The sequence below is a fragment of the Homo sapiens genome, chromosome 16, assembly GCF_000001405.40.
Source record: "Homo sapiens chromosome 16, GRCh38.p14 Primary Assembly".
Classification (NCBI taxonomy): domain Eukaryota; kingdom Metazoa; phylum Chordata; class Mammalia; order Primates; family Hominidae; genus Homo; species Homo sapiens.
In genome coordinates, this window is record NC_000016.10 from 1,703,392 (window position 1) to 1,726,368 (window position 22,977).

The 22,977-nt window shown below is 51.3% G+C and overlaps 1 protein-coding gene and 1 long non-coding RNA gene across 10 annotated transcripts in view, besides 9 other annotated features; one reads left to right on the forward strand and one right to left on the reverse strand.

Moving 5' to 3' along the window:
* Positions 1,357 to 1,651: a silencer, noted in NCBI's record as "tiled region #3989; K562 Repressive DNase matched - State 1:Tss". NCBI's record gives its function as "represses a minimal TATA promoter and a strong SV40 promoter by Sharpr-MPRA in K562 cells {active_cell/tissue: K562}" and the evidence as "EXISTENCE:reporter gene assay evidence [ECO:0000049][PMID:27701403]".
* Positions 2,135 to 2,999: an enhancer, noted in NCBI's record as "H3K27ac-H3K4me1 hESC enhancer chr16:1755527-1756391 (GRCh37/hg19 assembly coordinates)". NCBI's record gives its function as "activates a minimal SCP1, AML or CMV promoter by ChIP-STARR-seq in naive H9 embryonic stem cells {active_cell/tissue: H9 hESC(naive)}" and the evidence as "EXISTENCE:reporter gene assay evidence [ECO:0000049][PMID:30033119]".
* Positions 2,558 to 2,897: a silencer, noted in NCBI's record as "silent region_6997". NCBI's record gives its function as "represses an Ori minimal core promoter by ATAC-STARR-seq in GM12878 lymphoblastoid cells {active_cell/tissue: GM12878}" and the evidence as "EXISTENCE:reporter gene assay evidence [ECO:0000049][PMID:35858748]".
* Positions 2,804 to 22,977, forward strand: part of MAPK8IP3 (mitogen-activated protein kinase 8 interacting protein 3) — a 64,157-nt gene continuing 43,983 nt past the window's right edge. For 8 of the 9 annotated variants that reach the window (XM_011522429.3, XM_047433812.1, XM_011522430.3 and 5 more), the window contains exons 1-2: positions 2,804 to 3,266; positions 21,166 to 21,286. In XM_011522429.3, the coding sequence (XP_011520731.1) occupies positions 2,949 to 3,266; positions 21,166 to 21,286 (439 nt within the window). In that variant the 5' untranslated portion in view covers positions 2,804 to 2,948. Of the gene's footprint in view, positions 3,267 to 21,165; positions 21,287 to 22,977 lie in introns of those variants that run through there. The other variant, XM_047433814.1, reaches the window with a different exon arrangement.
* Positions 3,168 to 3,277: a silencer, noted in NCBI's record as "silent region_6998". NCBI's record gives its function as "represses an Ori minimal core promoter by ATAC-STARR-seq in GM12878 lymphoblastoid cells {active_cell/tissue: GM12878}" and the evidence as "EXISTENCE:reporter gene assay evidence [ECO:0000049][PMID:35858748]".
* Positions 3,298 to 3,347: a silencer, noted in NCBI's record as "silent region_6999". NCBI's record gives its function as "represses an Ori minimal core promoter by ATAC-STARR-seq in GM12878 lymphoblastoid cells {active_cell/tissue: GM12878}" and the evidence as "EXISTENCE:reporter gene assay evidence [ECO:0000049][PMID:35858748]".
* On the reverse strand, positions 10,138 to 10,800 carry MAPK8IP3-AS1 (MAPK8IP3 antisense RNA 1). The gene is made up of 2 exons (NR_184234.1): positions 10,611 to 10,800; positions 10,138 to 10,396 (listed from the first exon to the last, which is right to left on the reverse strand). It is a non-coding gene; the product is annotated as an MAPK8IP3 antisense RNA 1 (long non-coding RNA).
* Positions 10,547 to 10,596: an enhancer, noted in NCBI's record as "active region_10231". NCBI's record gives its function as "activates an Ori minimal core promoter by ATAC-STARR-seq in GM12878 lymphoblastoid cells {active_cell/tissue: GM12878}" and the evidence as "EXISTENCE:reporter gene assay evidence [ECO:0000049][PMID:35858748]".
* Positions 15,325 to 15,494: an enhancer, noted in NCBI's record as "active region_10232". NCBI's record gives its function as "activates an Ori minimal core promoter by ATAC-STARR-seq in GM12878 lymphoblastoid cells {active_cell/tissue: GM12878}" and the evidence as "EXISTENCE:reporter gene assay evidence [ECO:0000049][PMID:35858748]".
* Positions 16,735 to 16,854: an enhancer, noted in NCBI's record as "active region_10233". NCBI's record gives its function as "activates an Ori minimal core promoter by ATAC-STARR-seq in GM12878 lymphoblastoid cells {active_cell/tissue: GM12878}" and the evidence as "EXISTENCE:reporter gene assay evidence [ECO:0000049][PMID:35858748]".
* Positions 20,109 to 20,158: an enhancer, noted in NCBI's record as "active region_10234". NCBI's record gives its function as "activates an Ori minimal core promoter by ATAC-STARR-seq in GM12878 lymphoblastoid cells {active_cell/tissue: GM12878}" and the evidence as "EXISTENCE:reporter gene assay evidence [ECO:0000049][PMID:35858748]".

The following is a 22,977-nucleotide window of genomic DNA, read 5'->3' on the forward strand; positions in this document are numbered from 1 at the left end:
TGTGCAATCATGGTAGTGATAATTAATCAATTGAGTTGATGGCCAAGTCTGTTGGCCTCTCCCTGTGGTAGCATTGTTCCTACTGTAGTGTGCTACCTCAGGAATTCAAAGGGCTCAAGTTTCTCAAAGGTATAAAGCAGAAGCTTTAAACATCCCCCAAAATGCAAGCTTGCTCTAACTTGTTCACCAGGAAGAATTATAGATTACATCTGTTTGCCCAGCCTTATCATTTTCACTTTATGGAACCTCACAACTCTCCGTAACCTTTATCGCACGTTATTTGCTGGAGATGGCGCCATGCTCCTTTCATGGATTAGCTGACATTCCTAATAGGCTGGATATTTTAGGCTGTTTTGCAGGCTTAGAAACAGAGATTTGGGGCCAGGCACGGTGGCTCATGCCTGTAATCCCAACACTGGGAGGCTGAGGTGGGTGGATCACCTGAGGTCAGGAGTTTGAGACCGGCCTGACCAGTATGGTGAAACCCCCATCTCTACTAAAAATTACAAAAATTAGCCAGGCGTGGTAGCACATGCCTGTAGTCCCAGCTACTCGGGAGGCTGAGGCAGGAGAATGGCTTGAACACGGGGGGCGGAAGTAACAGTGAGCTGAGATGGTGCCACTGCACTCCAGCCTGGGCCACAGACTGAGACTCCATCTCAGGAAAAAAAAAAAAAGAAAAGAAAAGAAATGGAGATTTGGCAAAATTAAGTCACTTGGGATCCCAGGAAATTGGAATCTGAGGCTGAATGAAACCTCTTAGTGGGATGGTTGAACATGTATACGGCAAATTATGTTGCAAGTGGAAAATGTGAAAAACACAATAGAGCCTGGCATGGTGGCTCACACCTGTCATCTAAGCACTTTGGGAGGCCAAGGGGGAGGATCGCTTGAGGCCAGGAGTTCAAGACCAGCCAGAGTAACAGTGAGACCTCTGTCTCTACAAAAATGTTTTTAAAATTGGCCAAGCAGTGGTGGCTTACACCTGTAGACCCAACTACTTAGGAGGCTGAGGTGGGATCACTTGAGCCTAAGAGTTCAAGTGAGCCCTGATCATGCCAGTGCCTCCAGCCTGAGCAACAGGGTGAGACCCTGCCTCTAAAAACTGAACAACAAAAAAAATCAGTAGGGTGTCAGCTACGGGAGTTACTGTTTCGGTGCAATCAGATTAGGATGAGAGGATCTGAACTGATGAGCATTGCAGTAGGTGAAAGACGGTAAGTGGCCATTTCTATTAGCATTAAATAGTCACTGATGTGGTTTCATCAGGATTCACAATACATGTGTGGCTCCCAAATTGAGTTTCAAAGTCTTGGGTTCATGGTGTCCCCTGCCCAGCAAAATAAAGTGCAAATCTTACGGAGCAACACATTTTAAGTTCAGGCCTCAAGTACTTCCAGAGACAAAAGTCCTGGGGACACTGGCTCAGAATGGGGGAAAGGGGACCCTGGGCCAAGAGTCAACCAGGATGACATGCAGAATCAGACCTGCAAGGGCTGCAGATACTGTAGTTATGAGGCACACCCAACGCTTAAAGATAAATATGTGGTTGGAAGTATAAGAGCCTATTAAAACTGCTAGAATATAAGAAATCAAATAGGACAAAAACAGAATCATTGGCAGGGTGCAGTGGCTCACGCCTGTAATCCCAGCACTTTGGGACGCCGAGGGAGGCGGGTGGATCACTTGAGGTCAGCAGTTCAAGACCAGCCTGGCCAACATGGTGAAACCCCGTCTCTACTAAAAATACAAAAAAATGAGCCGGGCGTTAATAGCGCGTGTCTGTAGTCCCAGCTACTCAGGAGGCTGAGGCAGGAGAATCGCTTGGACCCAGGAGGCGAAGGTTGCAGTGAGCCGAGATCGCGCCATCACACTCCAGCCTGGGCGACAAGAGCGAAACACCGTCTCAAAAAAAAAAAAATCGGTGCAATTAATAACCCAGTGGATGGGTTAAACAGATTGCACGTAGCTGAAAAGTAACCGAAAATCTGGACTGGCGCGGTGGCTCACGCCTGTCATCCCAGCACTCTGGGAGGTCGAGGCGGGCGGATCACTTGAGATCAGAAATTTGAGACCAGCCTGGCCAACATGGCGAAACCCCGTCTCTACTAAAAATACAAAATTAGCTGGTCTGTAATCCCAGCTACTCCGGAGGCTGAGGGAGAAGAATCACTTGAACCCAGAAGGCGGAGCTTGCAGTGAGCCAGGATCGCGCCACCGCACTCCAGCCTGGGCGACAGAGCAAGACTCCATCTCAAAAAAAAAAAAAAAAAAGAAAATCTGAAGCAGTCAGTGCAGTAGGGAGAAGTGGGCGAAAGGAAGGAGGCCACGCTGCTGGGTTTCAGGATGAGATGGGCGTTGAGGGTGCATTCACAGAATCCCGGGAGGAGCCAGCTGAGCGGGGAAGGCATCAGGAGAGGGGAGGCACTGAGCGGGGCGCGGTGCTGTAGGGAACGGAGGCTCATCAGGGCGGCCGGGATTGAGGCGCAGGCGCTGAGCCTTCACCTAAGTCCGCCGAAGTGTGCAGAGCCTGGAGACGGGATCGAGGTCACCGGAAGCCCACGGTTGCGGGGACATGATCAAGCTACAGCGCGCTGGGGGAAGCGACCACTGCCGCCCCGCGGATCCCACCGGCCTGGCCGGGAGCTCCCTCTGCCCGGCTCACCCGCGCTTCCGGCCCGAAGCCCGGCTTCCTCTGACGTCACGGCCCCTGCGCCCCCTGGCGGCGCGGCTGCGGCGGGACGCGCGGGCACCGCCCCCTCCGGCTGGAGGGCGGGACTTCCGGTGAGTGAGTGACGGGCGCAGCCTCGGCAGCGGCGGCGGCGGAGCCCTGAGGCGACAGCAGCTGCGGGAGGCGACGGGCTGCGGCCTGCGGAACCTGAGGCAGCTGGGGAGGGCCGGGCGCGCCGGCCGGATAGCGAGCCGCGCTGGCGGCGGCGGTGGCCGCGATGATGGAGATCCAGATGGACGAGGGCGGCGGCGTGGTGGTGTACCAGGACGACTACTGCTCCGGCTCGGTGATGTCGGAGCGGGTGTCGGGCCTGGCGGGCTCCATCTACCGCGAGTTCGAGCGCCTCATCCACTGCTACGACGAGGAGGTGGTCAAGGAGCTCATGCCGCTGGTGGTGAACGTGCTGGAGAACCTAGACTCGGTGCTCAGCGAGAACCAGGAGCACGAGGTGGAGCTGGAGCTGCTGCGCGAGGACAACGAGCAGCTGCTCACCCAGTACGAGCGTGAGAAGGCGCTGCGCAGGCAGGCGGAGGAGGTGCGTGGGCCGCGGGACCCGCCCGCATCCCCGTCCCGGACCCCCAGCCAGCCCCGGGCCCCGGACCCAACACCCGTCCCGACCCCAGACCCCGCTCCGGCACCCCGGACCGCGGGACCCCTGGACCCCCAGACCCCGCCCCGAGACCCGCCTGGACCCCATATCCCCCGCCCCGGGACTTCCCCACCCCCTCTGCCCGCCGTGAGACACCTCCCTAGAGCACTCCCCCGCCTGCCCCGGGACCCCACCCCGACTCCCGGGGACCCCCTTTTCCGCCCAGGCCTGGGCCCTGGCCCCCTCCTCCGTGCCCCCAGCCCTGAATCTTCAGCCCCAAACCCGATGTGCCTGGCGTCATCCCCGGGGAGCTCAGCTTCAAAGCCAGGCCTCACTCTCCCCTCCCCACCCACCTCTGCATGACAATTGCCTTTGCTTTCGTGCGTGTGTTCAGTCAAAACCGTTTCCCGACCCCAAGTGCTACCTCTGTTGGCTGCCATTCTAAACCCATCTAGAAAAGGAATCTTTTGGTGTTCTTAGGGGGCTGCAGCCGTCTGTGGATGATGTTGGAGACCTTTCCCTTGTCCCTAATCCCGTATTTTGAAGGTCTGTGACACGGGTGAATTGGGTGGTTGATGTAAACACAGAACAAGGCCGCAGGCGGGCTGCTCCTCTGTCAGCAGAAGGAACACTCGAGTTTCTGGAGGTGATGTCTTTGCCCCCTTGGTTCCTTGCTTGGCGAGATTGTTAGCTGATGTAGCCAGGGCTGAGAAACTCCACTCTGGCTTCTGAGGAGTTAACAGTCTGAGTTTGAAGCGTTTAATTCTGTGCTAGGATGTCTCCATAACCTGGAAATCGCTTGTCTGTGAAGCAGTTACAAGAGCCGGGCCCTGTGGGGAGCACCACTTAGCTTCATTCATTCACCGTCAGATACTGAGCTCGGCCTGCCTGTGTGTGGGCCCAGAACCTCGCCCTTTGTCAGAAACAGGTTCAGGGAGGCTGGTTCCCATCCCTGCTTTGCCTCTGTGACCTTGGCCTGTCGCCTGCCTGGGGTTCGATTTTCCATCAAAGGAGTGAATTGCACTAGGCGATCTCCAAGCCCAGAAATTCTCTCATTCTAGGAGTTAGGTAATGCTGTTTGACTTATGAATAGAAGTGTCTTAGGAAATGAGCTTCAATTCCTTTTCAATTAATTCGGCTTAACACATTCTTGACTTTAATAGGAAAATAAAAGATTGTGTCAGTATTTTGGCTTTTTCTGAAACCAAGGTGATTTATGGCCTAGTTTGGTTTAAAGCGTGTTTATAAAAATCATAACAGTATGTTGTATCATTCCTCCTTTCCTGTGGTTTCTATTGCGTTTGGGCTTCGTGTCTGTCGCGAGGTGGTTATGCATTGATTGGAATGCCCCGGTTCCAGCAAAGCTGAGTTAAAGCTCTCAACCTAAGGGAACGCAAAGGTTCATGGATTTTGGAGCTCAGGGTGACTATAGGCATTTTACTGGGAAGGAAACTTGTCCTGAGAAGTGGAGGGGCTGAACCAAGGTCACCCACCCCAGAAGTGCCCAGCCAGGATGCAGAGTGAACCCGACACCGGCCTGGGCACTTGCTTCCATGTCAGGCAGCTGCAGGCACCGGAGGGCTGCTCCCCAGAAGCCTGGAGTGCCAGGGCTGCCCTCGCTCAGCTGTGGAGCTGTGGCTGCCCCCTGTGCTGGGCACCGCCCTCCACTGCTCTCCCACACTCAGTGGCCTGACCTGGATTTCAGGTGGGTTTCTTTTTTTCACCTTGTACCTGTGTGGTCAGTATAGTGGACGAGAAGGAACTGAAAGGAGAAAATCAAGATGGACAACGTTAAGGCTAGGAATTATAACCTTGCCGCTTAAAAATGAGCTGTGCACAGGATAGGCGCTGCCCAGCTCTGTGCGGTTCACATGCAAGCTGCTGTGAGTGCATCTGCCCTCCCCCAGGGCTCCTGCTGAACCAAGCTGGCGGGTGTGCGTGTGGTTTGCAAAGCTATCACCTTTAGTCTGAGACCCACCATTGCCCCAGCGCTTTAGAGAAGCTGCACCGAGAGCTTCGGGAGCCGAGCCCCGAAGCCAGCCAATGCTTGGCCAGCATGGAGGCTATGATTAAACGCTAACGGGGCGCCCTTGGAAAGACCTCAGGGCTTTACAACTAAGGAAGAGGGCTCGATGCTGTCAACATTTGGCATGCCTACTCCTCTACTGAATCAAGCAGACCTTCATTTCCAACTTTGTAGACCATTGTGCCCTGTGGGTCGGCGTCTTTTCTAGGCAGGGACTTGTGATCACATAGACGTGTGTCTGATAAGAGGGGAGCGGGACGTCACACGCTGCAGGCGTGTCTTGTTGCAGAGGAGCTCCTGGGTGAGCTGTCAGCAGAAGCTCCGTCCCCAGCCACTCTGCTCAAGAAGGCTTAGTCAGAGATGGGTAACCTGAGCCACTGCAGCTTCTGAGCAGACAGAATCCGCAGGGTTTTATAAAAACCTGAGCAGAGCAGACATCCCTGTTCCCATCTTCTTGCCGGTCATTACCACAGTGACTCCCAATGTGCTCTGATAACAGGCAGCTGAGTGTATGAGAGTGACAGGAGCTAGAGAGGGTGGGGTCTCCCGAGAGACTGACCCAAGCCGTGGAGTCTGCAGACCCCAGCCTGAGTGTCAGCCCGGCCCTCAGGAGCCACACACCCTGGGTCCATCCTCTTCCCCTCGCTGGGCTGCAGTGGCCGCGGACTTTGCAAGTCAGTTTCATCTCAAGATCCAAGCACCATCACTGGCTGTTGGTTGCCTGGAGAATTGTGGGCAGGCAGATGTAGCAGAGTCAGGGCAGAACCCTTGACGGGTTCTCAGGGCCGCCGTGGACGGCAGGCACCGGACATTGCTAGCCGCCTACCAGACAGTGCAGTTTCTGGTTGTGCAGGCTCTGATACAAAGTTTTTTAAAACCCTCAAGTTATTTCCCAGTGGAAAAGAAGAAGGTGGGAAACAGCAGCTGAACGGGGTGGGGGCTGGCAAGGAGCAGATGCTGCCTCCACACGCACCGTCCGGTGCAGCTCCAGAGGAGGGCCGGGCAGAGCCACCACGTTTGCCGGGCTTACCCGGGCAGCAAAGAGCCCTTCTCCCATAGTGATCAACTGCTTAGCTTACAAGAGGAAAAATAAGGTGTGAGAGATGACATGTGAATATTAGTGGTCATTATTTGCCTTAAAATCTTCTTAACCCTAAAGAAACTGCTGCTGGTAACACCCCCCAGGCTCATGGCAGGCAGCTGGAGTGGGTGTTCTCTCAACAAGCCCAGATGGTGATGTTTGCTGATCATTCGGCATTTGATGCTATGTAAGGAAAGGATGCAAGGGAAGACAGTTTTATCCAAAACTTATTTTTTCCGAGTTAAATAAAAGTTACCGGCCAGGCGCAGCGACTCTCACATGTGTAATCCCAGCACTTTGGGAGGCTGAGGCAGGCGAGAGATGAGGTCACGCTATGTTGCCCAGGCTGGTCTCAAACTCCTGGACTCAAGCAATCCTCCCACCTCAGCCTCCCAACATTTGACATTGAACTCCTGACCTCCTCATCTCAGGTCAGGAGTTTGAGACCAGCCTGGCGAACCTGGCGAAACCCTGTCTCTACTAAAGAAAAAAAAAAGAAAAAAAAATTAGCCAGGTGTGGCGGCAGGCCCCTGTAGTCCCAGCACTCGGGAGGCTGAGGCAGGAGAATCACTTGAACCCAGGAGGCAGATGTTGTGGTGAACCAAGATCATACCACTGCACTCCAGCCTGGGCAACAAGAGTGAGACTCTGTCTCAAAATAAATAAATAGATAAAAATAAATAAATAAATGTCATCCATTTCATAGACTATTTGGGTAGGATTCAGCTGGAGAAAACAAACACCATAATCCCGCTCTACAGAGATGATCAGTCTGCCATTTTTCCTTCTTTTTTTCTCCTCTGCGCCAGACGATCTGCAGGAAGTCTTTTCCATCAATGAATTAAGATGCTGAATCAGAAATTTTTATTTTTGTTTTTCATATGACAAATAGTAAATCCACCACTGCTTGGCCAGAGTATGCGATTTCTTTTCCTGCCATGTTATGATATTAAGAACAGTTTTTTAAAAAATGTTTTTTAAATGAAGCTATCAAGATGGGGCTGCCAGAGCTGCCTTTCCTAGGTGCCTCTGAAAGCTGGCCTGGTGTAGCTGTACCACTCACCAGGAGTACAGCAGTCTCCCTAAAAAGTGGAGCAAATACATGTAGGAACCATGGAGAAGGAGGTACCTGCCAGCCAGAGAGAACACGGGACAGAGGCCGAAGTGGCCCGGAGGCCGCTGGGCGCAGCCTGCCCCTCTGCCGCTCCGCTGCGGGAGCCCCCGGGCCACGCTGGCAGCAGTCAGACAGGGCCGAGAGCTGAGAGAAGTCAGTTCTTCCAAAATTAAGATTTCTAAATGAAATATCTGTTTCATTTTTACGTTTTTAAAAACCATTTTGAAATATGTACAGAAAGGTTGCAGAATTAACACTCCTCACCCAGCTTCCCAAGTGCAGGCGTCTTCCCACGCTGCTTTCTCTGGCTGTGTAAGGGGCTCAGGGGTCCCTGTGTCCTTGTTGTGTCCTGTGTTCTGCGGTGGCCCCTCGTTCTCTGCTCTTATTGACCTTGACCATTGCGACAACACAGTTCAGTCACTTTGCAGCTGTGCCTCAGTCTGGCTCATGGGCCCTGGGGACCAGATATGGAGCATGTCCTCAGGCCTCAGCAGGAAGACCCATGGCATGCAGAGCCTCCTAGATCCTTAATCTGTGCCAGATGGGCATCAGGTGAGGGGCACAAGATTTTTGGATGGGCCCCTTTCCCAGGTTCCCATTTATTACCAGGGCTGGAGGATGAGCTGTTAGTGCATGAAAATCACTACAGAAGCTTGCCCAGGAGCTGCATGGGGTGCCGGCTCTCCGGACTTGTTTTCCTTTGCCCTGTTGAAAGTTGGGGTCCCAACGCTGGGCGCAGTGGCTCACGCCCGTAATCCCAACACTTTGAAAGGCCGAGGCGGGTGGATCATGAGGTAAGGAGTTCGAGACCAGCCTGGCCAATATGGTGAAACCCCGTCTCTACTAAAAATACAAAAATTAGCTGGGCATGGTGATGCACACCTGTACTCCCAGCTACTTGGAAGGCTGAAGCAGGAGAATCGCTTGAACACAGGAGGTAGAGCTTGCAGTGAGCCGAGATTGCAACGCTACTGCACTCCAGCCTGGGCAATTGAGGGAGACTCCGTCTCAAAAAAAAAAAAAAAGAAAAAAAAAGAAAACTGAGGTCCCGAGCTCCCCTTGTCACCCCAAGTATCTAGCCGCCACTAGGTCCTGGTGTTCTTTTGGCCTCAGGAGTTCTTTTTTTTTTTTTTTTTTTTTCTTTTTTGAGATGGAGTCTCGCTCTGTCACCCATGCTGGAGTACAGTGGCGCAATCTCGGCTCACTGCAAGCTCCACCTCCCAGGTTTATGCCATTCTTCTGCCTCAGCCTCCCGAGTAGCTGAGACTACAGGTGCCCGCCAACACGCCCGGCTAATTTTTTGTATTTTTAGTAGAGATGGGGTTTCACCGTGTTAGCCAGGATGGTCTCGATCTGCTGACCTCGTGATCCACCCATCTCGGCCTCCCAAAGTGCTGGGATTACAGGCATGAGCCATCGCGCCCGGCCAGCCTCAGGAGTTCTTTAATGTCCCCACTTTTCATCTCCTTTGCTGCCTTCTGCTTCCAGTCACCACCATCCCAGGGTCTCCCGGCCACTCCCACCGCCGCCACTTTGCCAGCCCAGAGAACCCTCACAAAGCATATCTGGTCTCTGAGTGCTAGGGTGAATTCCAGGCAGGGGGATTAGCTGATTGCTCTCCTGGGGCAGACTGGACATCTCAGGTGGTGATAACATGAGGGGATCTGAGTGACAAGGTGGGCCAGGACACTGGGTGGACAGAGTGAGGCTGTCTTCCCCAGGTGGCCCCCCACTGGGCCCACCTCTCACCAGCCTCATCTGCCTCTGGTCTTCTGGCTGCCCCCCATTCTGCAGACCTGCAGTTCCTGCCTCCTAGACCACCTGCCCCCACCCCTCCCTCGGGGTTTATCTGGCTAGTTCCCGTCTCTGCCGGATTCGCTGGTGTCTGCCTCCGCAGTGCACCTGCAGAGAAGCCCCCATCACCCACTCTGCCGCCCCTGCCTGGGGAGCTGGGCCCCCACCAGGCCTCTCTCCCGGCTTCCGCAAGTTAAGCTGCTCCCTGCCAACAAGGGGCCGGCACCCTTTGGTTCATTCAGCCTGAGCCTGTTGTTTCCTTTTCTCGGCACACCCGGAGATGCTGGCCATCTGTGTGTGTGGATAAAGGGAAGCCGGCTTTCCTCTGTCTCTGCACACATCTCACCAAACTGTGCAGTTCCGGAAGGTCAAGGACTGTCTCTTTGGAGCAGCCTTTCTGACAGAACGTTCTGGGATGATGGAAATGTTGTATTTGGTGCTGTCCACTTCAGTAGCTGCTGGCCACATAGGGCCGTTGAGCATTTTAGGCATGACTCATGGAACTGAGGAACTGGATTTTTAGTTGTATTTACTTGTTTCGGAGATGAGGTCTCGCCACGTTGCCCAGGCTGGTCTCAAACTTCTGGACCGAAGCAATCCTCCCATCTCAGCCTCCCGAATAGCTGGGACTACAGGCTCGTGCCACCATGCCCGGCTGTGTTTTATTTTAATTAATGTAAACATGTGGCCAGGGCTTCCATACTGGACAGTGTGGCTGTGGGCAGTCTAGCTGAGCTGCCTGGAAGCAAGGGCAGATGGTGAGTTACTCAGCTTCATGCAAGAAAGGAAGATGCTTAAAGGGTGGGTTTGTTTCCTGTTTAATGAACATTTTCCAGAAAGAGGGGAGATCCCGTAGCAGTGGGTTTCAGATACAGGAGACCAGACAGGAGAAAATATTGTGAGATGGGAAAGTGGATGCCAGCAACAGGAAACAGCAGAGAGGGGCTGAAGTTCTCGAAAGGCCAAGAAGAGCCTGGTGGGAAACCGCTCGCACCTCAGGACTGCCTGTGCTCAGGGCACAGGATCGACTTTTTCGCCTTGGGCTGCTTTTTGTTTTCTTTCTGTGGGTAACAATTTTATTGCAGTATCATTGACATACACTGAACTGTACATACTTAAAGAGTACAATTTGATGAGTTTTGAAATACGTATAAACACCAGAAGCCATCCCTGCAGTCCAAGCAGCGTAGACGCCCGGACCCCAGAGTTCCCTGTGTCCTATGTAATCCCCCTCCGACCCCTCCTTGCCCCACCTGTCCCCAGGTAACCACTGACCTGCCTTCAGTCACTGTAGGTTAATTTGCATCTTCTAGAGCTTTGCATAATGGCCTCCTGCAGTGCGTACGTGGTTTCCTCTGACATCTTCCACTCGGTACAGTGATTCGGGGACTCACCCAGGCTGTGTGTGTCCTTCCCCCATGGCCAAGCAGGGTCCCAGCAGTGCCGTTTGTCCATCCGCCTGCCTGCAGGGGAGCTGGGCGGCTTGTTTTTACGTAACCTTCACGCATGAGCGGTTTGTAAGCCCGCTCACCCCGTTGGCAGGGTGTTGGGCCAAGCACTGCTCTGGGGCAGGCTGGCAGTGAAACCCAGAGACTAGAATCCGCTTATGAGGGGGGTGCGTCTTTGCGGAGACCCTTAGAGCCCACAGCATCATTACTCTGGTGCATTTTCTTTTGAGCCACTGTTACGGCAAGAGATCCAGGGCGTGCCACGTGAAACGCGACAGGGCCTTTCCTCAAGACCTCTCCTCCGTGTGGTGCGTTTCTCACACAGGGTCTAGGACATTTCAATTCTTGTTATCAACAACCAGATTCAAAACTTGCCTTTTGTTAAAGTTTCGGGGGGCCCCTTCCTCCCCAGGCCTCTGGGGAGTTTGGGGCTCCTGTTCCCTAACCTTTCCTCAGCCAGCCTGCCCATCACCTTTCCTTCTCCCCAGGAAATGAATTCCCAGATATACGCACAGTCCCAGTGGGCCCTTGCACACGTGTGTCTCTATGTCCCTGCCTCGGGTTAGAGCATTCATGTTTTGAGAGCAGGGACCCTTTGGCTACTGAGAAGAGTGAACTGAGGCACGGTTAGCAGGCCTCTCGTTCAGTGGAACCAGAGGGAGTCGGAGGTTGGGGCTGATTAGGAAGTTTCAGAAGCCAATGTAAACTCCTAAGAATGCACCAGAGAATAAAAGTTTACTTGAGAATAATTTTTCCCAGGGAGATGTTTCATAGGATGGGACACTTAACTTGAGGTTTTGGTTTTATCTTCATTTTTCTTCCGCTGGTACCAACCATATAAATTTATATATATATTTCCCAATACAAATGTATATGTACTAGTAAGACAGATGGGAAATATATATATATCTATTTCCCATCTGTCTTACCCATTCTTGAAATCAGTTCGTATTCAACCAGTTGGGATTTGTTTTACGTGGACACTGAACCCAGCCATCCCTTTCACAGAACGTGAGGAAGCCTTGCTTTTCAACCTGGTTTTTGGAGTCCCGAGCTAGTGGCCAGCTCTCTCAGCCCCACACGTAATACCTGAATGGAGAAATGTCCTTCCCTCGACCCGTGTCCCGTCCAGCAGGCTTCAGGGGCAGCTTTGTAACTCCAGAGCCACCCCCTGCACGTCCTCTCTCTGCATTTTAGACCTAGGTGGCCAGGCAATTGTGGGAAATGGAAAGAGCTCTGACTGCCCCCTGCCAGCCCAGGGTAACCACAGCCATGCGAGGTCCCTGCCCGTACCTGGGAACTAGCCATGAAGGGCATCTGCCAGGCACGTGCCCGGCACCTGTCTGCCTGCTTAAGATAAAAGACCAAAAATGAGCGTTTTTCCTTTGGAAATTCATACTACACCCTCATTCCCAGGGAAGGAAATAAATTGATCGGTATTGCACAAGAACGAGATCTTTGATTCGTGTCAAGATTCGTTTCTAACCAACCAGCCAGAGCTGAATTGTTTCTCGCTGGTGAGCCTGGCCTAACAAACGTATGAGAGGAGAGGTTTGGATTTTTTTTTTTTTTGAGATGGAGTCTCACTCTGTCGCCTAGGCTGGAGTGCAATGGCGTGATCTCTACTCACTGCAAGCTCTGCCTCCCGGGTTCAAGCGATTCTGCCTCAGCCTCCTGAGTACCTGGGATCACAGGCGCCCACCACCACACCCAGCTGATTTTTTGTATTTTTAGTAGAGATGGGGTTTCACCATGTTCGCTAGGCTGGTCTTGAACTCCTGACCTCACGTGATCTGCCCACCTCAGCCTCCCAAAGTGCTGGGATTTCAGGCGGGAGCCACTGCACCGGCCGAGGTTTGGATTTAATGTATTACTTTACTCAGCAGGAAAGTGTCCATGGGTTGTGAAAGTTACCAAAAGCCTGTTGATCGCCCTGTGAAAGAACTTTCCTGGCCATTGCTCTGACATTCTGAGTCCAGAATACTGTCATCTTGATTTTATATTGGACATTAAAAGTCAGTCACTGCGTTAACTTTGTTTACATATAAAAGGAAGGATGATATCATTCTATGGAATACTGAAAAAACTGGCTTGGATTACTAGATTTTCGAAGACCCTATGCTCTCAGGTCATTTCTTTTTTTTTTTTTTTTTGAGACAGAGTCTCCCTCTGTCATGCAGTGGCGCGATCTCGGCTCACTGCAACCTCTGCCTCCTGAGTTCAAGAGATTCTCCTGCCTCAGCCTCCTGAGTAGCTGGGATTACAGGTACGCACCACCACGCCTGGCTAATTTTGGTATTTTTAGTAGAGATGGGGTTTCACACGTTGGTCAGGCTGGTCTCAAACTCCTGACCTCGTGATCCTCCCACCTCGGCCTCCCAAAATGCTGGGATTACAGGAGTAAGCCACTGTGCCCAGCCAGGTTATTTCAATATGTATCTTGAAATTCACCGAAAATGCTGGGCATGGTGGCTCACGGCTCTAATCCCAGCACTTTGGGAGGCTGAGGTGGGTGGATGACCTGAGGTTAGGAGTTTGAGACCAGCCTGGCCAACATGGCGAAACCCCGTATCTACCAAAAATACAAAAATTAGCCAGGTATGACCAGGCGCAGTGGTTCACGCCTGTAATCCCAACACTTTGGGAGGCTGAGGCAGGCGGATCACGAGGTCAAGGAGATCGAGACCATCCTGGCTAACACAGTGAAGTCCCATCTTTACTAAAAATAAAAAAAATTAGCCGCGTGTGGTGGTGGGCGCCTGTGATCCCATCTACTCAGGATGCTGAGGCAGGAGAAACAGTTGAACCTGGGAGGCAGAGGTTGCAGTAAGCTGAGATTGTGCTACTGCACTCCAGCCTGGGCAACAGAGCGAGATGCCGTCTCAAAAAAAAATAAAATAAAAATTAGCCAGGTGTGGTGGTGGGTGCCTATAATCCTAGCTACTCAGGAGACTGGGAGGCTGAGGCAAGAGAATCACTTGAACCCAGGAGGCGGAGGTTGCAGTGAGCCAAGATCGTGCCACTGCATTCCAGCCTGGGTGACGGAGTAAAACTCCATCTCAAAAAAAAAAAAAAAAAAAGAAAGAAAGAAATTCACCAAAAAGCAAATTCTGAAAACATAAGTTGAATTTAATTTTCAAGCAGAGCCCTTTGGTCGTGGGAGGGATGGGGAAGTACATCTTAAAAACATGTCTAAAAAGGGAATCCTGTGGCATATTGGTACCTAGATGTGAGAGTTGTTTCGTGTCTCGACTGAGGAACGACACCCATGTTTTCCTTCATTTTGTAATCTCAAGTCATTGCTCCTTGGGATGCTCAAAGGTGACCCATAGGTGGCCTCTCATGTCCAGATGCCACACAGCATTTCACTAGACTCGGTTAGATAGGTGGTCGTGTCAAATACACGCTGCCCTGCAGCATGGATCACGAGCACGTGTACAGAAACCTTTCACTTTGCTATTGTCACACCTTCAGTAGGTCTCTGGGACCAAGATACTACCGTGCTGTATTCTGGGTAGTTCTTTTATTTTTTTATAATCTAGTACTATGCAGGCCCATTCAAAAAAAATGCTGATAGTTAAAACTTTATTTTTCTCAGCTCCGTTTATATTTTGTAATCGTGCTTTATAGACTTAAATTCATCTCTATTCCCCAAGTCCCCACCACTGAAAATTCTTGGTTCTCTTTTTTTTTTTGAGATGGAGTCTCGCTCTATCGCCCAGGCTGGAGTGCAGTGGCACGATCTCAGCTCACTGCAAGCTCCGCCTCCCAGGTTCCTGCCATTCTCCTGCCTCAGCCTCCTGAGTAGCTGGGACTACAGGCGCCCGCCACCACACCCGGCTAATCTTTTTTGTATTTTTAGTAGAGATGGGGTTTCACCTTGTTAGCCAGGATGGTCTCGATCTCCTGACCTCAAGGTTCGCCCGCCTCGGACTCCCAAAGTGCTGGGATTACAGGTGTGAGCCACCAAGCCCGGCTGAAAATTCTTGGTTCTCTTAAATCAGAAGTAAATGATTTTTTTTTTTTTGAAGCAGAGTTTCACTCTTGTCACTCGGGCTGGAGTGCAATGTCATGGCCTCGGCTCACTGCAACCTCTGCCTCCCGTGTTCAAGAGATTCTCCTGCCTCAGCCTCCTGAGTAGCTGGGATTACAGGCATGCATCACCATGCCTGGCTAATTTTGTATTTTTAGTAGAGACGGGGTTTCACCAAGTTGGCCAGGCTGCTCTGGAACTCCTGACCTCAGGTGATCCCCCCACCTCGGCCTCCTAAAGTGCTGGGATTACAGGCATGAGTCACCGCGCCCGGCTAATGATCTTTAAATAAAAATATTTTCTAGGCCGGGTACGGTGGCTCTCGCCTGTAATACCAGCACTTTGGGAACCCAAGGCAGGCAGATTCCTTGAGGTCAGGAGTTCAAGAGCAGCCTGGCCAACATGGTGAAACCCTGTCTCTACTAAGAATACAAAAATTAGCCGGGCATGGTGGTGGGCACCTGTAATCCCAGCTAGTCAGAGGCCGAGGCAGGAGAATCGCTTGAACCTGGGAGATGGAGGTTGCAGTGAGCCAAGATCGCACCACTGCACACCAGCCTGGGCAACAGAACCATCTCAAAAAAAAAAAAAAGAATGTTCCAGCATCCACCCCCAGAAGCCCCATCAGAGGACTCTTCACTTCCTCAAGATGAGTTTTCTCTCACCCCAAGTCTAGCCCTAGCATCTTCTCACTGAAAACGACTCAACATTAGGGGCTGGGCGAGGTGGCTCACGCCTGTAGTGCCTGTGGTTCAGGAGGCTGTGGCAGGAGGATTGCTTGAGCCCAGTAGGTAGGTCAAGGCTGTAGTGAGCCTTGGTCATGCTGCTGTACTCCAGTCTGGATAACAGAGCAAGACCCCGTCTCAAGCAATCTTCCTGCCTCAGCCTCCCAAGTAGCTGGGACTATGGGCATGCAACACTGTGCCCAGCTAATTATTTTTTGTAGAGGTAAGGTCTTGTTATATTGCCCAGGCTGGGCTCGAACTCTTGGCCTCAAGTGACACTCCTGCCTCAGCAACCCAAAGTGCTGGGATTACAGCTGTGAGCCACTGTGCCCAGCCTGAGACCCAATCTTTAAAAAGAAAAAAAAAAAATGGCCCCTTCCTAAGGGACAGAGACCTGGTGCTTTCAGACAGGTGAAATGCATAACCAAAAAATAAATATGTATGTCGGTGATTCAAAATGATTCTCAAATCAATCTAGAAGGAGAAATTAGGAATAACCAGGAAAATGTTGAAAAGGAAGATGTAAGAGGGAGAGCAGATATTAGATACTAGAAAGTACCATAACACCACAACACCAGTTTAAAAACCTGTGGTGCTGGCTCAGAAACAGACTAAAATGTAGCCAGGCACAGTGGCTCATGCCTGTAATCCCAATACTCTGGGAGGCTGAGGGGGGATCGCTTGAGCCCAGGAGTTTGAGATCAGCCTGGGTAACATAGGGAGACCCCATCTCTACAAAAAAAAAAAAAAAAAAACCACAAAAATTAGCCCAATGTGGTGGCACGTGCCTGTGGGCCCAGCTACTCAGGAGACTGAGATGGGAGGATCGCTTGAGCCCGCGAGGTCAAGGCTGCAGTGGGTGACAGAGGGAGACCCTGTCCCCAAAAAATTGAAAAATAAAAGTAAAAGAAAAAAAGCCTCAAAAACAAACCAAAAAGTATAAAAGAAAGAAATGTTGAGAGTTCTACAAAAGGGCACTGTCCCACTTTTTAGGGGGAAGTGTAAGTTGGGACACCCTCTGAAGAGTCACTTAGCAGTGCATGACCGCAGCCTCAGAGAGCAGGAAGCCAGCAGGTGAATATACAAAGACGTGTGTGCACACAGCTTTTGTTTGTTTGTTTTTCTTTTGAGATGGAATCTCGCTCTTGTTGCCCAGGCTGGAGTGCAATGGCGCAATCTTGGCTCACTGCAACCTGGGTTCAAGCAATTCTCCTGCCTCAGCCTCCTGAGTAGCTGGGATTACAGGCGCACGCCACCACGCCCAGCTGATTTTTTGTGTTTTTAGTAGAGATGGGGTTTCACCGTGTTGGCCAGGCTGGTCTTGAACTCCTGACCTCAGGTGATCCACCCGCCTTGGCCTCCCAAAGTGCTGGGATTACAGGCATGAGCCACCGTGCCCGGCCAGCTTTTTATAGTAGCAAACATTTTAAAGCAACCTGAAAGTCCATAAAGAGATAATGGATTGAGCAAACTGTGCTCTACACACACACTCCCAGCAGAACACACACCTGCCAAAAATGGAAGTGGTCGAGTACGCCTGTTGGTGTTGAAAGGCATTTCAGTATAAATCAGTGAATAAATCAGGTTACAAAACACTGTGTACAAGATGATCGTACATCTGCTCTACACACACACATACAAATCCAGAAGCACGTCACACAATTTTAACCGACCCTATAGACCGAGACTCATAATTTAAAATTTTTTCTGTTTTTACCTAACACTGATTTTCCTGCAGAAACATACATTGTTTATATAATTATTTTCATTTTTTATATAACAGGAAATAAACTTACCTACTTTAAAAAATATCCAGGCCAGGCCGGGTGCAGCGGCTCACGCCTGTAATCCCAGCACTTTGGGAGGCAGAAGCAGGCGGATCACGAGGTCAGGGGATCAAGACCATCCTGGCTAACACGGTGAAACCCCGTTTCTACTAAAAATACAAAGAATTAGCTGGGCGTGGTGGTGGGTGCCTGTAATCCCAGCTACTTGGGAGGCTGAGGCAGGAGAATTGCTTGCACCCAGGGGGCGGAGGTTGCAGTGAGCTGAGTCATGTCATTGCACTCCAACCTAGGCAACAAGAGCAAAACTTTGTCTCAAAAAAAAAAAAAACAAAACAAGGCTGGGCATGGGGGCTCATGCCTGTAATCCCAGCACTTGGGAAGGCCGAGGCGGGTGGATCACCTAAGGTCAAGAGTTTGAGACCAGCGTGACCAACATGGAAAACACCATCTCTACTAAAAATACATTAGCTGGATGTGGTGGCGCATGCCTGTAATCCCAACTACTCGGGAGGCTGAGGCAGGAGAATCACTTGAACCCGGGAGGCGGAGGTTGCGGTGAGCTGAGATCGTGCCATTGCACTCTATCTCAAAAAAAAAAAAAAAAAAATCCTTTGCTCATGCCTGTAATCCCAGCACTTTGGAAGGCCAAGGCAGGAGGATTGCTTGAGCCCAGGAGTTTGAGACCAGCCTGGGCAATATAGTGAGATCCTATCTCTACAAAACCTTTTTTTTTAGAGAGAGGATCTCACTGTCATCTGGGAGTGCAGTGGTGCCAGCCTCAGGGCTCACTGCAGCCCCGACCTCCTGGGGTCACTGCAGCACCGACCTCCTGGGCTCAGGTGATCCTCCCACCACAGCCTCCCAGCTCACTGGAACTACAGGCACATGCCATCGTGTCCAGCTAATTTTTTTGTAGAGACGGAATTTCACCATGTTGCATCTAACTCCTGGAGTCAATCAATCCACTCGCCTCGGCCTCCCAAAGTACTGGGATTACAGGCATGAGCCACCGCTCCGGGCCTATAAAAACTTTGTTTTTTCGTTTTGTTTTGTTTTGTTTTGTTTTTGGAGACTGAGTCTTGCTCTGTCGCCCAGGCTGGAGTGCAGTGGCGTGATCTCAGCTCCCTGCAACCTCCGCCTCCCGGGTTCAAGTGATTCTCCTGCCTCGCCCTCCCGAGTAGCTGGGACTACAGGCGCCCGCCACCACGCCCAGCTAATTTTTTTTATTTTTAGTAGAAACGGGGTTTCACCATGTTAGCCAGGAAGGTCTCCATCTCCTGACCTCGTCATCCCCCCCGCCTCGGCCTCCCAGAGTGCTGGGATTACAGGCGTGAGCCACCGCACCCAGACAACTTTTTGTTAAAAATTCTTATCAGTCGATTAATAGCATGTGTGTGTTCTTCATATGCTAGTTAGCCACAGTTAATTCAAAATCACTTATTTTTATTTTTTGTACCGCCGCACAAAAAAGTCATGCATTTTCTCAGCTGTGGAGTGTTTGTTTTTCTTCCTTTTCCTTAAGTTGCATGTGATGCCCATAACACAGACTCTTCCTGCTGCCTCCTGCTCCCTGCCTGCCCCTCCCGCCTCTGTGGTTTTCTGCCCTCTCAGTAACTGCACAGAATGAGTCACCTCTTGGGCAGAGCCCCAGTGGTTTCAACACAAAGACCTTTTTAGAAGCTGCTGCTATAGGAAGAAGCGTCGAGGAGCCTAGTATCCGGGTGGGAGAGTGGGTAGAGTTATTATAGGGAACACAGCTGTGGCCACTACCCATGGATCTTCCAGATCCCAAAAGATGAAATCCACCACCCGGTTTATATTCCCATCTTCTGAGAAACTCTTTTGTCTTCAGAACCCAGCTGAGGCTGGGTGCAGTCGCTCAGGCCTATAATCCCAGCGCTTTGGGAGGCTGAGGTGGGAGGATCGCTTGAGCCCAGGAGTTTGAGACCAACCTGGGAACCATAGCAAGACCCCATCTCAAAAAAAAAAAAAATCTTTTTTTTGAGATGGAGTCTCGCTCTGTCGCCCAGGCTGGAGTGCGGTGGCGCTATCTTGGCTCACTACAAGCTCTGCCTCCCAGGTTCACGCCATTCTGCCTCAGCCTCCCAAGTAGCTGGGACTACAGGCGCCTGCCACCACGCCTGGCTAATTTGTTGTATTTTTAGTAGAGATGGGGTTTCGCCGTGTTAGCCAGGATGGACTCGATCTCCTGACCTCGTGATCCGCCTGCCTCAGCCTCCCAAAGTGCTGAGATTACAGGCGTGAGCCACCGTGCCTGGCCAATTTTTTTTGTTTGTTTGTTTTTGTTTTTGTTTTTGTTTTTGTTTTTTGAGATGGAGTCTTGCTCTGTCTCCCAGGCTGGAGTACAGTGGTGGGGTGATCTGGGCTCACTGCAATCTCCACCTCCCAGGTTCAAGCGATTCTCCGCCTCAGCCTCCCAAGTAGCTGAGATTATAGGTGTGTGCCACCACACCCGGCTAATTTTTGTATTTTTTAGTAGAAACAGAGTTTCACCATGTTGGTCAGGCTGGTCTCGAACTCCTGAGCTCACATGATCCATCTGCCTCAGCCTCCCAAAGTTCTGGGATGAGGCAGGAGAATCGCTTGAACCCGGGAGGCAGAGGTTGCAGTGTATTTTTTAGTAGAAACAGGGTTTTACCATGTTGGTCAGGCTGGTCTCAAACACTCACTCAGGCTGGTGGCTCACAGCGTGAGCCACTGTGCCCGGCCTCTACAAAAACTTCTTTAAAATTAGCCAGGCATGGTGACACATGCCTGTAGTCCCAGCTGCTCAGGAGGTGGAGGCAGGAGGATCATTTGAGCCCAGGTGCTCAAGGCTGCAGTGAGTTGTGATCGCACCACTGCAGTCCAGCCTCAGAGACAGAGCGAGACTCTCTCTTAAAACAAAACAAAACAAAACAAAACAAAAGGCCAGTTGATATTTATACTTCTTCCAGTGAAATTTCTTGATAATATTCCCCAGTTTTCTACTCTGTAAAAATGAGGTGTTAACAGCTCCCTCTCTGGGCTGCTGTAGGAACTACACTTATGGCATCGATGCCCGGCCACACCTGGGGCCTCACTGGCCCCCAGGCTCCTCAGACCTTTTATGAGCTGCTTTTATTTTGCAAAATGTTTTCTTTTCACTTGGTTTGATAATAATTTTGTCCTGAAACTTACCACATAAGGTTAAGATTCCAAACCTAGACCAATCCCCCTGCCTTTTTATTTAATGACTAGGAGCAAGACTGTGTTGCTGGTTATCCCAGTAACGATGGTGTCCTGAGCTGAGCTGCAACTGACATGCAGAAAAGTAGGCTCAACCTTGTTCTTAGGCGTGGAGTTGAGGGGAGTCAGATGACTCCATTGCAAACAGGACTGGCTGTGTGCTCATGGATCCCAGTGTAAAAATGGAAACACAGGGCTCTATGTTCAAAAATTAGCAACATTTCAAGATGGCAGCAGCCAAGCCAAGCATTGGGCCTTCTGAGTGCAGGGCCCCGCATTGCTGCCCGGGTCTCATGCAGCCACGAAGGCAGCCGTAATTGGAAACAACAGGCTCCCTTCACAGCAAATCCTCCCGGGAGAGGAGGGTGCAATCATGCAGTCCTGGAGGGCTCTCCCGCCCTGCCCTCATGGCTCCTCACTGTGCCTGAGGAGGGTGGTGGCCACAGCCACGTGGCGGGAAGCCCCCATTCCGGCCTGGCCATGGGCCAGCTTGTGGCCCTGGGGACATCTTTGGCCCCTGGGCCCTCAAAGCCTGCGGCCCTTCAAGTGAAAGGCGGCTGCTCCACACTCACTCCTGATGACTGCTCTTTCCCTCCCTTCCATGCACAGAAATTCATTGAGTTTGAAGATGCTCTGGAACAAGAGAAGAAAGAGCTGCAAATCCAGGTGGAGCACTACGAGTTCCAGACGCGCCAGCTGGAGCTGAAGGCCAAGAACTATGCCGATCAGAGTAAGTGGCTGGCGGGAGCCTGGAGGCGCGCTTGATGGGCGCTGCTCTGGGACGGCTCTGGTTGGGGTGGGCATGGAGCGCCTTCCACACAAGGGGACGAGAGGAAGCCCAGTGGGAGCCTCAGCCATGTATTCCAGCTCTTTGTACTGCTGCCTGTTTCTGTAATGGGCCCCAGATTGTGTGTGGAAATAAGTAAATCAGGCCACTGTGGCCCCATAGCACTTTTGCTTCAGAGTGAATTCTGACCCCCAGATCACAAGTCTGTGGTCCTGAAGGTCCTTCCTGAATCTTTTGAACAGAGCTCCTGCAGCCCCTGGGGTCCCCACCTCTTCACACTGCTGAGGAGTGATGGCTCCTTCTCAGGCAGGAGGGTGGGCCCGCTGGTGTAGCCCCATTGAAGTGACAGCGCCTAGGTGGGGGGCACAGCTGATCAGGGTGTCTGTCCCCTGCAAGGCGAAGTAGCAGAAAGGGTTTATTATTATTATTATTATTATTATTATTATTATTATAAGAACAGTTGGTTTACTTACCTTTAAAAGTCTTTGCTTAAACTCTACTGTCAATGTTTTAGGCCAGGCGTGATGGCATGCGCCTGTGGTCTCAGCTGGGCTGAGGTTGATACTGCCGTGTGGGCACACAGAGACCTCATCTCTTAAAAAAAAAAAAAAGGCCGGGCATGGTGGCTCACACCTGTAATCCCAGCACTTTGGGAGGCCAAGGCGGGTGGATCACCTGAGCTTAGGAGTTTAAAACCAGCCTGGCCAACATGGCGAAACCCCGTCTCTATAAAAATATAAAAATTACCCGGGCATGGTGGCGGGCGCCTGTAGTCCCAGCTACTCGGGCAACTGAGGCAGGAAGATCGCTTGAACCCAAGAGGCGGAGGTTGCAGTGAGCCAAGATCGTGCCACTGCACTCTAGCCTGGGCGACAGAGTGAGACTCCATCTCAAAAAAAAAAGAAAAAATTTAAAAAAGAAGAAGTGATGATTTCCTGTGTAATTTTCCTTTTCTGTAATTAGATGTTTTGTTTTGTTTGGAGACAGAGTTTCGCTGTTTTTGCCCAGGCTGGAGTGCAATGGTGCGATCTCAGCTCACTGCAACCTCTGCCTCCCGGGTTCAAGTGATTCTCCTGCCTCAGCTTCCCAAGTAGCTGGGACTACAGGTGCCCGCCACCACACCCAGCTAATTTTTTGTATTTTTAGTAGAGATGGGGTTTCACTGTGTTAGCCAGGATGGTCTCGATCTTCTGACCTCGTGATCCTCCCAAAGTGCTGGGATTACAGGCGCGAGCCACCGCGCCTGGCCCCAGATGTTTTAATGATTGAAACCAATCGGCTGCGGTTTCCCTAGCTACCTCAACAGCAGGTTCCTTTATCTCTAAAAAGTTAAGATCAAATTTGGGAAAGAAACTGTTTTGATATGTTAGACTTACTCCTATCCCCAGCCAAGGCCTAAAGGCTGCTGTGCTGACAATGACCTGCTGACGAGTCTGGGGGCCAGAGGGTGACCACGGTGGCAGCTTCCACACACATGGAAACACACTGGCATTCACAATGCAAAGCAAACCTAAGACCCGTGCTGAGCATACCTAGGTAATGCCTTTCCATAATTACAGAGTCTCTCCTGGTCCCTCGGCTTTCAGTACATTTCATGTGTGAAACATTCTCAGCTCTCTTCTTAGAAGGAGAAA